This window comes from Homo sapiens, chromosome 3, assembly GCF_000001405.40.
Source record: "Homo sapiens chromosome 3, GRCh38.p14 Primary Assembly".
Lineage (NCBI taxonomy): Eukaryota > Metazoa > Chordata > Mammalia > Primates > Hominidae > Homo > Homo sapiens.
In genome coordinates, this window is record NC_000003.12 from 196,183,249 (window position 1) to 196,197,417 (window position 14,169).

Sequence of the window (14,169 nt, forward strand, 5' to 3'; positions counted from 1 at the left end):
CTCTACTAAAAATACAAAAATTAGCTGGGCGTGGTAGCACATGCCTGTAGTCCCAGCTACTTGGGAGGCTGAGGCAGGAGAATGGCGTGAACCCAGGAGGCGGAGGTTGCAGTGAGCCGAGATCATGCCACTGCACTCCAGCCTAGGCGACAGGGCGAGACTCTGTCTCAAAAAAAAAAAAAAAATTTATGGGTGACAATAGAACAAAGGCAGAGGGACAGGACAGAACAATGAGTCACTCCAACACACCCTGTGTGTTCTAAAAGAGGCCCCGGGACAAACACCTGCCTCAGTAGGAAGGTCCAGCATTCGTGGCGGTGTGTGCTGGGCGGTTGTGGTGAGGACTGTGTCTGTGTCTGGGCGGGTGTGTGTAGTTGTGGAGTTTATAGCTTTCCTTTGACTCAAATCCTTCTTCCCTATCACCGGCTTACATGTTAGAGGCCTGTAACAGGAGACCAGTTCCAGGCCAACCTGTGGTTAAAAGAACCTCAGCCTGTGAGCAAATGTTACTCCTCCTCCGCACTCGAGGACCCTGTGGCAGCCCAGCCTGTCAGGCCTCTGCAGACATGAGTTGGCCTGGTTCTCCCTGCTGCCATCCCTCACCCGCCAATCCCCAATCAGTCTTCACTGTATAAACAAGTGCTTCACTGAACAGCCCAGCGCATCTGCGAAAGATCCAACACGCAGCCCTTCTCGTTCCTTTGAGTGGATCCATTTGAAAAGCTCCTGTCTCCTGGCTGGGTGTGGTGGCTCACGCCTGTAATCCCAGCACTTTGGGAGGCCGAGGCGGGTGGATCACGAGGTCAGGAGTTTGAGACCAGCCTGGCCAACATGGCGAAACCCCGTCTCTACTAAAAATACAAAAATTAGCCAGGCGTGGTGGCGGGTGCCTGTAATCCCAGCTACTCAGGAGACTGAGGCAAAAGAATGGCTTGAACCCGGGAGGCGGAGGTTGCAGTGAGCCGAGATTGAGCCACTGCACTCCAGCCTGGGCGACAGAGCAAGACACCATCAAAAACAAAACAAAACAAAACAAAACAAAACAAAAATCTCCTGTCTCTAGGACCAGGCACAATGGCCTAGGCCTGTAATTCCAGCACTTTGGGAGGTCAAAGTGGAAGGATTGCTTGAGGCCAGGAGTTCAAGACTGGCCTGGGCAACATGATGAAAACCCCCTCTCTACAAAAAAATTAAAATTAAACAAATCAGTTGGGCAGGGTGGTGCACCTGTAGTCCTAGTTGCTCTGGAGGCTGAGACAGGAGGATGGCTTGAGCCTGGGAGGTGGAGGCTGCAGGGAGCCATGGTCTCTCCTTCACATTCCGGCCTGGGAGCAAGCCCTTCATCTCTAAAATAATAATAATAATAAAATAAATAAATAAATAAATAAATAAATAAATAAATAAACTGTCTCCAAATCCTTCCATTCTAGTCCAGGCCTCTTTTGAGTTAGCTCTATTTTTTCCTAATACTCATTAAATAAATGCTTAACTATTAAAATAGAAAGTCCTCTGGGCGGGGAATGGGGTGGGGGGCGGCTGCCAGGCCATGGCCAGAGGCTATTATGCACTGGAAACCCCGCATAGCAGAGGGGCAGCCCTGCACCTGCCCCTGTCCAAGGTAGGTGGGTGGTGACTGCAGGCCATGGGAAACGTCCATCCTAGGGGAGTCACCAGCCACCTGGGAAGCCAGGATCAAGGCCCTCCACCCCCAGAGTACAGGAGACAAAGGGAGGAACACCAGGGACAAGGAACCCTAGGACCCGAAGCAAAGTGGCGTTCGCTCACCCGGGAGTGCCACGTTCGTGCCACCGTCACAGCCCTCACCTCCCGCCCGCCAGCACCTGAGACCGGAGTGCTGGGGGGCTGGCTGCAGGCGAAGGAGGTGAGGGCGGATTCGTTTCTCACTGCAACTGCAGCCTCTAGAGCTGGGTGGGCAGGGTCTGGCTCCATGAGCTCAGAGCTGACCCTCTACAAAGATTCCAGGACTTGGGGGCTGGAGACATCTCTCTTCGAAAACAGATTAATCCAGAGGAGCTGTGGGCCCTGTGTTTAGTAAATTGTACTCTGTGTCTTCAGCATAGAAAGTCCTTCCCACTCCCTGCTCAGTATCTCCCAGCCCTCCTAGGAGGCAGGCAAGGCAACTCCAGGACAGTCACCCTAGTTCACAGATGAGGAAACTGGGGTTTCAAGACTGAGACATGAGCGCTCAGCACAGTCCGGGGTGGGGGGCAGCAAGGGGGTATTACTGAGCACCTCTCATGCACTGCCACAGCCCCAGACCTTACCCCACTTCATGCCTGGGACAGCCCGTAAGCTGCGGACTACTGGCCAGGTAAACAAGGGGAAGAATCCTACCCAAGATGTAGCTGATTTGAATTTGTTAAGAATTAAGGCCAGGTGTGGTGGCTCACGCCTGTAATCCCAGCACTTTGGGAGGCAGAGGCAGACGGGTCACCTGAGGTCAGGAGTTCGAGACCAGCCTGGCCAACATGGTGAAACCCCATCTCTACTAAAAATACAAGAAATTAGCCGGACGTGGTGGCAGACGCCTGTAATTCCAGCTACTCGGGAGGCTGAGGCAGGAGAATCGCTTGAACCTGGGAGGTGGAGGTTGCAGTGAGCCGAGATCATGCCACTGCACTCCAGCCTGGGCAACAAAGGGAAACTCTATCTCAAAAATATAAAAAAATTTTAAAAATGTAAAAATTATGGCAGCCCCAATTTCCAACTAAGTTATATTCCAAGGTATAGTCAAAACACATTTTCCCACTGCAACAATGTTATTTTATTTAGATATTGGGGCTTGTCCATCAAGGGCCAGTTAACCCACAACACTCCAGAATTTCTGAACAAGTGTAATGAACAGCTGACAAATATTATTACAACATCAATGGTCAAAATAGAAAAGCAATAGCATTTGATAAGAAATTACTTTTTTTTTTTTTGAGACAGAGTCTTGCTCTGTCACCCAGGCTGGAGCACAGTGGCACGATCTCGGCTCACTGCAACCTCCACCTCCCAGGTTCAAGCGATTCTCCTGCCTCAGCCTCCCAAGCAGCTGGGACTACAAGCACCTGTCACGACGCCCGGCTAATTTTTGTACTTTTAGCAGAGACAGGGTTTCACCATGTTGGCCAAGCTGGTCTCAAGCTCCTGGCCTTAAATGGTCCACCTGCCTTGGCCTCCCAAAGTGCTGGGATTACAGGTGTGAGCCACTGCATCCGGCTGACTTTTTATTTAATATCTTGAATACCTGCCTGAAAATCTGAGGCCGGATGGAAGAATGGACAGAATTGCCCCCACTCTCCTGTTCTGGAATTTAAAGAAGAAAAAAGAGGGGAGGAGGCATCACCTAGTTGGGACCAGGCTTGGGGAAAAAAGGACAGAATTTGCAGACCAAACAGGGAAGCTGTGAAAGAAAAAAGCAAGTCCCTGGCAAGCAGCTCAGCAGCTGGAAATCCCCCTCGGTCCTTGGGAGAGACAATGAGCTCCAGCTGCTCTCAACTGCGATGCAGAGAGAGCTGGTTCCCACCCTGCAGCCGTCCCCGTGTCCTTCTCCTCGCTGAGCCTCACCTCCTCCGCCTGCCACAGAGGCGAGCATCCCGCTTCCTGCCCAGGGATGCAGCGGAGAATGAATATCACCTAGGTAACAACTCACAAGCACAGTGTCTGGCTTCGGGGCGTAGGGGCGGGGACACATGTAATCAATACAAGCCGCCTGCCTGGGTGGCTTCCCCCTTCCCTGATGAAGACCTCCAGGCCGCAGAGAATGCTCTGTTCCTGGTCACAAGGCTGCAGCTGAAGGGCGGGGGAGGCCTCTCAGATTCAAAACAGAGCAGAGATGAGAGGCCTAATTCTAATTTGAGATCAGAGCCTGACAGCTGGGCAGGTGGCAGGCGGCCGCTTCCTCCCCTCCGTGGAGCCTGCCAGGAGAGGGGCTGTGGTCGTATTAAGGGTGTGAGTGGCAAGGCCCGCAGCGGGATGGGCAGTCCCCGCCATGCCAGTGCAGCTCTGTGTAAATCCTTAGTCCCGAGTATCCTCGTGTAACTCAGAGCTGGAAAGAGCCGTAGATCTTCTGGTTCCATGCTTTCATTTTACACATAAGGAAACAGGCCCACAGAGGAAAAGGGCTTTTTGTAGTCACGTGGCGAGGCAGGGGAAGCTGGGCCCAGAATGCAGGGGACCTGCCACCCAGACCCACAGCCAGGACCCCCCAACGGGAAAACGCTCGCTCGGCCACCAAGAGCATTTGATGAATTTGCCTCTAGTCTTTTAAAAATACATATATGCAATTTTATTTTAAAATGTTTTATTTTTATTTTATTTTATTTTTTTTGAAACAGGGTCTCACTCTGTCAGCCAGGCTGGAGTGCAGTGGCATGATCATGGCTCACTGCAACCTCCACCTCCTGGGCTCAAGCGATTCTCCTGCCTCAGCCTCCCAAGTAGCTGGGACTACTACAGGCAGGCATGTGCCACCATACTTAGCTAATATGATTTTTTGTAGAAATGGGGTCTTGCTCACAACAAAGCCCAGGCTGCTTTAAAATTCCCTTGCTCAAATGATCCTCCCACCTCAGCCTCCCAAAGAGTTGGGATTGCAGGTGTGAGCCACTGCACCCAGCCTACATGCAATTCTATTTTATTTTTTTTATTTTTTCATTTTATTTTTGAGACGGGGTTTCGTTCTGTTGTCCAGGCTGGAGTGTAGTGGCGAAATTAAAGCTCACTGCAGCCTCTACTTCCTGGGCTCAAGTGATCCTCCCCCCTCAGCCTCCTGAATAGCTGGGACTATAGGTGTGCATCCCCATGCCTGGCTAACTTTTTTCTATTTTTTTGTAGAGATAGGGCGAGCCACTGTGTTGCCCAGGCAGGTCTCAAACTCCTGGGCTCAAGCAATCCTTTCATCTCGGCTTCCCAAAGTGCTGGGATCACAGGTGTGAGCCATTGTGCCTGGCTGTAATTTTAAATTAATACCTAATTATACTATGCATGAATACATTCTCTTTAAAAAGTTATTTCCTTGCCTCTTGGATATGGTGTGGCTACTTAGTGTTTGTTAAATGTGTGAACAGGTGAATTCTTATTTCTATCATCCCATTCAGGCCCCAATCTTATTACCAGCTCCTCCCTGGATGCCAGCACCTCTCAACGCCCCCTCCCCTAGGACCCTCCTACCAGGACCACTGGATCAGGGCACCCAGGGGCAAGGAGGCCAGTGAGGCTGCTTGAGGGCCCCTCTAATTCCTGCCCCGCTCTTGGTTGGGGCTAGCTTTGGGGCACACTTTGGACTTTTTTTTTTTTTTTTCCAGATGGAGTCTCACTCTGTTGCCCAGGCTGGAGTATAGTAGTGTAATTTTGGCTCAACCTCTGCCTCCTGGGTCCAAGCGATTCTCCTGCCTCAGCCTCCCAAGTAGCTGGGACTACAGGCACGTGCCACCACGCCCGGCTAATTTTTGTATCTTTAGTAGAGACGGGGTTTCACCATGTTGGCCAGGCTGGTCTCGAACTCCTGACCTCAGGGGATCCGCCCGCCTTGGCCTCCCAAAGTGCTGGGATTACAGGCGTGAGCCACCACGCCCAGCCCTTTGGAATTTTTTATCCCAGCCCCAAGCTTGGGACGGGTCTGGGGCACCCAGATACCCTCCCTGTGAAGCCAGGGCCCCCCGCCCTGCTCAACTGCCTGCACACAAGCAGGTGTTCCTCCTTCTCTGTGGCTCCTCTCACCTTTGCTTCCTCTCTCCCGGTATTGGGACGTGGAAAGACATTAAACACCTGGGAGCCCCCAGGGAATAATTCAAATTCAATCATAGAAAATGAAGGCACAAGGCCTGGGCTGCTGGGAGGGCCCGAGGGCCTGGAGATGGAGGCTTGGCAGGCCCAGCACTGCTGAAGCCAAGGGAATGAGTGACTTCTCCAAAAGCAGGTTGAGTCATGCTGAACCTCACTGGTTCCCCAGTAGCAGGAGCATGAGGACCAAGGACGGACCTAGAAGATTCATGGTAGGGGCTGAGGGGAAGAGCAGCCAAGAGTCAGGAGGGTCAGAAGTGTGTCTGATCCCTTGGCAGGGTGCGGTGGCTCACGCCTGTAATCCCAGCACTTTGGAAGTCCGAGGCGGGCGGATCACCTGAGGTCAGGAGTTCAAGAGCAGCCTGGCCAACATGGTGAAAACCCGTCTCTACTTAAAATACAAAAATTAGCCGGGTGTGGTGGCGGGCGCCTGTAATCCCAGCAACTCAGAAGGCTGAGGCAGGAGAATCGCTTGAACCCGGGAGGCGGAGGCTGCAGTGAGCCGAGATCGCGCCACCGCACTCCAGCCAGGGTGACAGAGCGAGACTCTGTCTCAAAAACAGCAATAACAACAAAAGAAGTATGTCTGATTCCTCAGGCCAGAGTAAAAGAGGTTTCAAGAAAGAGGGTGTGGTCAACAGTGCCAGGTGCAGCTAATGTAAAGGAAAAGTGGCCTCCTTTTTCCCTTGACGTGGATGCGTACAAACCCTCCCCTGGGACCAAGCTCAGGGCCGGGCCACGACCAGGGGCCCTCAGGCTAGATCTGGTGCCGGAGGAGACCTGCTGCCGAGGCTGGACGGGTGAGCCTGGAAGGGCGTGGACCCTCCACCCAACCTCAGGGACAAGTGCCTGACACCCCCCTGAGCAGAAACAGGGTGGGACGGAAACCAAACAAATTGCTCCTGAAATCCATGTTTTAGGAATGTTTGGTTTTCAGCTTCTCTTTCCTGCAGCAGGATGTTTAAAGAAAACAAATCTTTAAAGTCTTCTACTCCAAAGCAAAGAGCGCTGTGTGTGCCTACTTCTGGTCTCCGCTTCAGGAACAAACCCCCTTTACTCTCTGGCCTGGATTGGGCGCAAGGCAGCCGGAGCTTCCTGGCCAAGCTGGGCCAGCAGCCCAGGCCCCCACCAAAGGCTCAGAGTGAGCTGGGCACCACCAGGCCTTGAGGCCTTCCAGAGGCTTCTACTCCAGGGCACTCTGAGGCCGGGGGCTGTGGGTGGCTAACAGACTATGCCGCCAGCTGGGAGCAGAGGGGGCCCCATCTCTGCCCCAAATCCAAGTCTGGCCAGCTCCTTCCCCTAGGGATAGATACTTGGTGGGGAAGAGAGGGAGCTGAGAAGGTCACCCAAGAAAGGTGAGCCGGGCCGTCTGCCTGGGAGTCAGAATGAGGTGGCCCATCCTCGGACTTGACCATTTCCCAATGCCCTGTTTAATTTAATTTTTTATTTTATTATATAGGGACAGGGTCTCAATATATTGCCCAGGCTAGTCTCGAACTCCTGGACTCACATGACCCACTTGCCTCGGCCTCCCAAAGTGCTGGGACTACAGGCATGAGCCACCACCCCCACCCCCCAGATAATCTAAATTCAGAGCCTGCAAAAGGCTCAGGGCCCAAGGAGAGAAAATGGAGACAGAAGAGAAAGGGAATTTCTCCCTCCAGGTCCCCACGCCTGAGTCAGACCCTCTCACTGTTTCCTTTACAACCACCGCACACCCACCTGGACCTGGCCTAAGAAAAGGAATACAAGTCCATGAAGGTTCTCCCTTCTTTTTCTTCTTTTTCTTCTTCTTTTTCGTCTTTTCTTCTTCTTCTTTTTCCTCCTCCTCCTCTTCTTCTTCTTCTTTCTTCTTCTGTCGCCCAGGCTGGAGTGTAATGACGCGATCTTGGCTCACGGCAACCTCCACTTCCGTATCTCAAGGAATTCTCCTGCCTCAGCCTCTGGGACTACAGGTGTGCGCCACCACACCCGGCTAATTTTTGTATTTTTTGTAGAGACAGGGTTTCGCTATGTTGGCCGGGCTGGTCTTGAACTCCTGACCTCAGGTGATCCGCCCACCTCGGCCTCCCAAAGCGCTGGGATTACAGGCATGAGCCACCATGCCCGGCCCATCATGTACCCTTCTGATCCTACAAGCGCACTGTGAGGTCGGCCGGGCATGGAGTTTGGTTTCAACTTCACGTTGAGATCGGAGCAGCTCTGAGAGGTCGGGGCTTCATCCAGGGCCACACATCCAGCTGGCAGCAGAGCCACCTGTCCACCCAGCTCTCCGGATGCCCGGCCTGTGCTCCCTACACAGCCGCTTACTGCCCTGCCAGGAAAAGGCAGGCAGGAGGGATCTTTCCACTCCCATTAGGGGCTGAGGAACAGGCATCTAGGAGCTAAATCTGACTGGGGGAGTCTCCCAGCCCAGACAGCCCAGGGCCCTGCCCAGGGGTCAGTGCTTTCACTTGCTGACCTCATGCCTCCACCACTACTCGGGGACAGATGAGGTTCAGCATGACTCAGGTTCAGCCAAAGGATACTAATGGGCCATGGAATAAATCCTGCCTGGAGCCCTGTTCACCTCAGGACTTGTCCTCAGACCATGGACCTTCCTCCCTGGTCACTCAGTCAAGGAATCGCAGGAGATCAGTGCAAGAGTAGCTCTGAATGGGCCGGGCGCGGCGGCTCACGCCTGTAATCCCAGCACTTTGGGAGGCCGAGGCGGGTGGATCACGAGGTCAGGAGATCGAGACCATCCTGGCCAACACGGTGAAACCCCGTCTCTACTAAAAATACAAAAGATTGTCCGGGCGTGGTGGCGGGCGCCTGTAGTCCCAGCTACTCGGGAGGCCGAGGCAGGAGAATGGCGTGAACCCGGGAGGCAGAGGCTGCAGTGAGCCGAGATCGCACCACCGCACTCCAGCCTGGGCGACAGAGCGAGACTCCGTCTCAAAAAAATAAAAAAATAAAAATAAAAAACAGTAGTCCTGAAGCCCCCAGCCCAGCACACCTGGTCTTTGCAGGCCCGAGACACCCACAAGAGTAACAGCAGCGCCTCATTCAGGAGGCTGAGGACTAAGTGAGCAAACGCAGGCCGAGTGCTTCCCCAGGCCTGGACCTCCATTAGCATTCAACTGTGTTGTCATTGCTGTCATTGCTACACTGGAGTCAGATCACTAGGCCTTTAGGAGGAAGAACGTGCCCTTCCTGTTGACAGGCCGGGCCTCTGACCCAGGCGTCTCCTCTCCGTGGGGTGGCAGGAAGGGCCCAGGACTCAGGTGGCAGATCAGGGACCCCCTGGCCTGGCCTCTGCTCAGCTGTGTGATCTTGGGGAAGCCCCGCCTTGCGTCCCCCACCGCCTTGGTTTTCTTCTTGCTGAGAAGTGAGGGAGGTGGCTGGCTGTTCAGCAGGGCCCCTTCCACTTTGGGAATCCCCAGTTTCAGCAGCAGAACTTCCCCAAGCAGAAAGCTGCTGGGAAAGTGGGTGCCCAGGTGGGAGGCGGAAGCCCCAGGGAGAGGCAGACGAAGGTGCCCTGTGCGGGCCCCGCCTCCAGCCTGGTGGACAGTGCCCTGGGTTTCCATGCCCAGACCAGGGCCTTCCTGGAACCGCAGCCAGGACGTGAGAAGCTGTCAGACAGCTGCCTCTGTGTTCCTGGAAGCTGTGGTTCAGGAAAAGTGGGAGGGAGAGAAGGAGGGAGAGAGCAATCGAGGGAGAGCAGAAGAGTGTGAAGAGAAAGAGAAAGACAGGAGGAGGAGCAAGGGGAAGGGAGGAGGCAAGCGTGGAAAGGTGAGAAGAGGTGAGGCAGAGGCCTACGTGGAGAGGCAGAGCCTGGGACGCTGCCTGCGGGGGAGGTCAGGTGAGGAGCAGGGAGGGCGGAGGCTGTGAGCAGCCACCCTGGAACAGAGCTCGGAACACCATTGCTTTTGCCTTCCTTCAGCCTGAAACACTGCCTGGCCACAAAGCAGAAGCAGCAGTTGCTTTCTTAACAGGAGGCAGAGCCGTTGTTGGGTGACCCTCTTCTCATTCCCTTGAAGAATCTCAGCCCATGCCCCCATCCCTTCTGGCCTGGAGACACCAGTGTTGGGGAGTTTTGTGTAAAACAGTAACAAAGACCTCGTGTCCGAAGCAGCACCCTTTACCTCTGTTGTCAGGGCCACAGGGAAACCCGCACCCAGCCGGACAGGAGTCAGAGGCTGTTGTCATGGTAACTGGCATCCCAAGGCCTGGTCTGCCTCCTGCCTCCTTTATCGGGCTATGATGGTCACTGCTTCCTCTGCGAAGCACCTGTCATGTGTGGGGGTTTGTGCCAAGCTCTTTCCATGCACTAGGTAAGCCATGTCATAACCACACGATGAGATACGACTTGTGTGTGTGTGTGTGTGTGTGTTTTCTTCTAGAGATACAATTATTAATCTTACATTACAGGGGGAGAAACCAGGCAGCCCACCTTCAGAGCCCGCGTCTTAACTGTGACCCCACGTTGAAATAAAATGTGGAAACTGCCCACAGACACACCTCGTGGTGGCTACGAGTCACAGGGGCTGCACTTCTGCCTCTTGGGGAGTTGCTTGTTTGCTCCATGCTGGTTTCCTCACCTCAGAAACTAGAATAACAGTTCCATAGAGCAGTCGTGAGGATTGAAGGAGGCAGCCTGGACACTGAGCACAGGCCCTGGCCCAGGCAGGGCTCCATCGAGGGTTTGTTAGTACAGGAGTTCTGGCGAGCCCTCAGCCGCTGGGCTGCTTCCCTCCAGCCATTCCTCTGCATGCTAAGAACTAAAGAGAAGGGAGTCAGACCCAGATGGAGCATGGGTGTCAGGCACTGTGCCCAGCTGCCCATGAGAGCCAGCAAGGTGCCTGTGTCCTTTGAGGTACTAGGATTCTGGGCCCTGGATCCTGCAGTGCGGTGACCTCCCCTTCCCCCATCTGTCCCTGCCCTGCTCCACCCTCAGCCACCTGCAGGGCCCCCACCCAAGGGTCAGGGCAGAGCAGGGCAGAGCAGGGCAGAGCAGGGCAGGGCTGAGTGGGAGGCAGCGGAGGGGGTCATTATCACCGGCAGCACAGGGCTGAAGAGAGTTAAACCTTCTTATCAGTTCCCTGGGCCTGTGCCCAGCCCAGCCCAGCTCTGAGGCACAGGGGCTGGAGAGCAGAGCCCTGGGGTTGCCAGCCAAGCCTGTCTCCTCTGGAATGGCCCAGGACCAGGGATGGGGCAGCGGCCTGGGAACCCGAGAGTCACCAGACTGGCTGCACCGTGTGATCTGATGCAACCACTTCCCTCTCCGGGCCCCAGAGTCCCTGCTTATGAAATTGGGGGTCGGGGGCAGCTGGATGAGGCAGCCCGGGTCCCTTCCTCTCCTAGAGAGTTAGGATCCTGTGATCCCTGGGAGGTGGCTATGACTGTCAGTCCTACAGACGAGGAAGCTGAGGCTACGCACAGGACAGTGACTTCTCCACAGCACACTAGTTGGGCACAGAGAGGAATGATGGGGCTGAGCCCCACCCCACATGCCCATGAAGCTTGTGAGCCTTCCAGAAGGCCCATGGAGGAAAGGCGTGGAGATGGGAGGTCGCTGCCCTGGGCACCCCATCCCAGGGTCTAACCCCTTTCTTCAGGTCCTAGGGGCCAGCTGGGGACCTCTCAGAGGAGCCCTAGACAGTCAGGCACCTGGCGGCTTTGCAGGCCTGGGGTCACTCCTTGGCTCCAGCCCACAGAAGGCAGAGATGGCAGGGCTTCCTGGGCGTATAGACAGTAGGCCCTGTAACTGGGCTCTGATAACACCCCTCCCCTTATCAGTGGGTCAAGGACTGGGTGGGGTGCATCTGAGAATCAAGGGTACATTCCACAGAAACAAGGAAGGGGCAGAAAGGAAAAGTGGGTGCAGCTGAACCGAGGCCTCTCAGCCCGGCTGCAAAGAATCCCGGAGGGGTCCCCTGGCTTAGGGGGGAGAGTGTGGAGTGGTGGGGAGTCAAAGGAAGGGACAGTCTAAGTCTCACTTAACCCTCCAGGAGCCAAGGGGCCTGATCCAAGTGACTTTCCTGAAGAAACCTTAGAAATCCTAGGCTGGGGCCGGGCGCCGTGGCTTATGCCTGTATTCCCAGCCCTTTGGGAGGCTGAGGTGGGCTTATCACTTGAACCCAGGAGTTTGAGACCAGCTTGGCTAACATGGTGAAACTCTGTCTCTACTACAACTACAAAAATTAGCTGGATATGGTGGTGCACACCTGTAATTCCAGCTACTCAGGAAGCTGAGGCACGAGAATCAGTTGAATCCAGGAGGAGGAGGCTGCGGTGAGCCGAGATCGCACCACTGCACTCCAGCCTGGGCGACAGAGCAAGACTCCGTCTCCAAAAAAAAAAAAAGAAATCCCAGGCTGGGAGGGACAGAGAGACCTAGAATCCACATTTAGAGCAGGAGGCCATTGCCCTCAGAGGGTTCATGGTCTCCTTTGACACTATGAGGAAAATTATGTCTGCCCAGTGGGGAAATTGAGGCCCAGCGTGTGAGGGGAAATGACTCACAGCTGGCTTAAGGCTTGAAAGGCCCCTGCCTGAGGCTGAGTGTGTCCCCTGCATACCTGGAGGCGAGGACCAGTAGGTGCCGTCCTGAACTAAGGGACAGGGTGGCAGAGGAAGGTCAGGGCCTCCCCAGATACTGGGCCTGGGCTTCTTTGCCCCTGTGGGCTGGGACTCCAGGCAGGCACCACTTCTTCAACCAGCCAGTTCCATAATTCACATCCCGGCCTTGGCCCAGGCTCCTGGACCCCCTCCCCCGTGGCCCATGCCAGGCAGGTGGGTGAGGCTGGGCCTGCACAGGGAAGGGTCTGAAGCCTGCAGGGTCGGTTGTGGCAGGACCCATTGGGCTGGAGATCTGGAGGGACGTCCTGCATCACCAGCGGTAGAGAGGACAGGGGCTGGGCCAGCGTCCCCCTGAGAATGCGCTCACACCCCAGCACACAGACACACACACCTCCGCGGCACCTGGGGGTGGCTCATCTGAACCCTTGGGTGACATCCTTCTGCCCCCACCCTCCTCCACACCCTGGTTTCACCCGGATACGAAGGTGGCAGGAAGCAAACAGTGTGACTTGGGCCCATTTTGACGCTCCAGGTGGCAGAATCACTGGAACACCTGATAAAAATTCCCACCCTCCCCTGACACGGAAAGGCTGAGCCAGAAGAGCCTGGCAGAAGGGACTTCCCTGAAGAAAGGGGCCCAGGTCAGTCTCGAAGGTGGTCCTTGGAGAAGCTCTGGGTGGTGTGTCAGCTGCGTGGTGGAGAAAATCATCATGATGACACTGACCGCGCTCACTGTGTGCCTACCGTGTACCTGTGTCCCGATGTTTTGCATGAAACACCTCATTCCGGCCTCTGCCAGCCTTCCAGAAAGATGCATTATTCCCAGTCCCACGGTCACATTCTGGCCGCTAGCAGAGCCACAGTTAGATGTGTCCCCCCGACCCCCCCAACCCCAGGGGCCTGAAGACTTGTGGGGCCTGGGACCACCCCAGGGGCAAGACCAGAACCAGCTCCTGACCTCCCACCAGGAAAGAGGGACCAGGGTGAGACACAGCTGCAGGAAAGATGCAAGGCTGGGCCGTGGTGGAGAACGCCCCCACCCCTCCACTTCCCCAGGACGCGGCAGGCAGGAGGGGGCCACTCCCAGCCTCAGGGCCCCAGAAATGGTAAGGCCAGCCCTAACCCCACCCCAGAGGCTCCAGAGAGGCAGGGCTGGACCAGGCCAGGCCTGGTGAATCCCTGGGCTGCGAGCGCCCCCTGCAGCCAGACAAAGGTGTGGCCGGGCAGAGGCCAGGTGCTCCCCAACCTCGGACACCCCGACATTGGTGGATTTTCCTCTTCCATCATCTCCAGCCCTAGCTGGGAGCTAGGCCAGTCAACTGCTGCAATTATTATTATTATTATTATTGTCTGTTGTTGTTGTTGCCCTTTTTTTTTTTTTGAGACAGAGTCTCACTCTGTCACCCAGGCTGGAGTGCAATGGTGTGGTCTTGGCTCACTGCATCCTCCAACTGCCGGGTTCAAGCAATTCTCCTGCCTCAGCCTCCCTAGTAGCTGGGACTACAGGCATGTACCACCAAGCCCAGCTAGTTTCTGTATTTTTTACTAGAGACAGGGTTTCACTATGTTGGCCAGGCTGGTCTCGAACTCCTGACCTCAGGTGGCCTCCGGCCTCCCAAAGTGCTGGGATTACAGGCGTGAGCCACCACGCCCAGCCTATTGTTGCCCAATTTTAAGGAGGAGAGAAATGTTAGGTGTCTTGTCCAAGGTCACAGAGCCAGGTGGTGTCAGGTCCTGAACTCAGGCCTCCACAGATCCTGGGTCCTCCATCCCGGAAGGTCTTTGTCCCGGCCCATTAGAGCCTCCTCCAAGCCC

The 14,169-nt window shown here is 55.2% G+C and overlaps 12 annotated features.

The window, feature by feature from the left end:
* Positions 178–267: an enhancer, noted in NCBI's record as "active region_21072". NCBI's record gives its function as "activates an Ori minimal core promoter by ATAC-STARR-seq in GM12878 lymphoblastoid cells {active_cell/tissue: GM12878}" and the evidence as "EXISTENCE:reporter gene assay evidence [ECO:0000049][PMID:35858748]".
* Positions 3,277–3,896: an enhancer, noted in NCBI's record as "H3K4me1 hESC enhancer chr3:195913396-195914015 (GRCh37/hg19 assembly coordinates)". NCBI's record gives its function as "activates a minimal SCP1, AML or CMV promoter by ChIP-STARR-seq in naive and primed H9 embryonic stem cells {active_cell/tissue: H9 hESC(naive and primed)}" and the evidence as "EXISTENCE:reporter gene assay evidence [ECO:0000049][PMID:30033119]".
* Positions 3,897–4,515: an enhancer, noted in NCBI's record as "H3K27ac-H3K4me1 hESC enhancer chr3:195914016-195914634 (GRCh37/hg19 assembly coordinates)". NCBI's record gives its function as "activates a minimal SCP1, AML or CMV promoter by ChIP-STARR-seq in primed H9 embryonic stem cells {active_cell/tissue: H9 hESC(primed)}" and the evidence as "EXISTENCE:reporter gene assay evidence [ECO:0000049][PMID:30033119]".
* Positions 7,612–8,230: an enhancer, noted in NCBI's record as "H3K27ac hESC enhancer chr3:195917731-195918349 (GRCh37/hg19 assembly coordinates)". NCBI's record gives its function as "activates a minimal SCP1, AML or CMV promoter by ChIP-STARR-seq in primed H9 embryonic stem cells {active_cell/tissue: H9 hESC(primed)}" and the evidence as "EXISTENCE:reporter gene assay evidence [ECO:0000049][PMID:30033119]".
* Positions 9,191–9,260: an enhancer, noted in NCBI's record as "active region_21073". NCBI's record gives its function as "activates an Ori minimal core promoter by ATAC-STARR-seq in GM12878 lymphoblastoid cells {active_cell/tissue: GM12878}" and the evidence as "EXISTENCE:reporter gene assay evidence [ECO:0000049][PMID:35858748]".
* Positions 9,191–9,879: a biological region, named in NCBI's record as "H3K27ac-H3K4me1 hESC enhancer GRCh37_chr3:195919335-195919998".
* Positions 9,216–9,879: an enhancer, noted in NCBI's record as "H3K27ac-H3K4me1 hESC enhancer chr3:195919335-195919998 (GRCh37/hg19 assembly coordinates)". NCBI's record gives its function as "activates a minimal SCP1, AML or CMV promoter by ChIP-STARR-seq in primed H9 embryonic stem cells {active_cell/tissue: H9 hESC(primed)}" and the evidence as "EXISTENCE:reporter gene assay evidence [ECO:0000049][PMID:30033119]".
* Positions 10,539–11,198: a transcriptional cis regulatory region, noted in NCBI's record as "candidate enhancer chr3.5817 targeted for multiplex CRISPR interference". NCBI's record gives its function as "positively regulates TFRC gene expression with high confidence in K562 cells {active_cell/tissue: K562}" and the evidence as "EXISTENCE:mutant phenotype evidence [ECO:0000015][PMID:30612741]".
* Positions 10,811–10,940: an enhancer, noted in NCBI's record as "active region_21074". NCBI's record gives its function as "activates an Ori minimal core promoter by ATAC-STARR-seq in GM12878 lymphoblastoid cells {active_cell/tissue: GM12878}" and the evidence as "EXISTENCE:reporter gene assay evidence [ECO:0000049][PMID:35858748]".
* Positions 11,001–11,130: an enhancer, noted in NCBI's record as "active region_21075". NCBI's record gives its function as "activates an Ori minimal core promoter by ATAC-STARR-seq in GM12878 lymphoblastoid cells {active_cell/tissue: GM12878}" and the evidence as "EXISTENCE:reporter gene assay evidence [ECO:0000049][PMID:35858748]".
* Positions 13,254–13,323: an enhancer, noted in NCBI's record as "active region_21076". NCBI's record gives its function as "activates an Ori minimal core promoter by ATAC-STARR-seq in GM12878 lymphoblastoid cells {active_cell/tissue: GM12878}" and the evidence as "EXISTENCE:reporter gene assay evidence [ECO:0000049][PMID:35858748]".
* Positions 13,354–13,453: an enhancer, noted in NCBI's record as "active region_21077". NCBI's record gives its function as "activates an Ori minimal core promoter by ATAC-STARR-seq in GM12878 lymphoblastoid cells {active_cell/tissue: GM12878}" and the evidence as "EXISTENCE:reporter gene assay evidence [ECO:0000049][PMID:35858748]".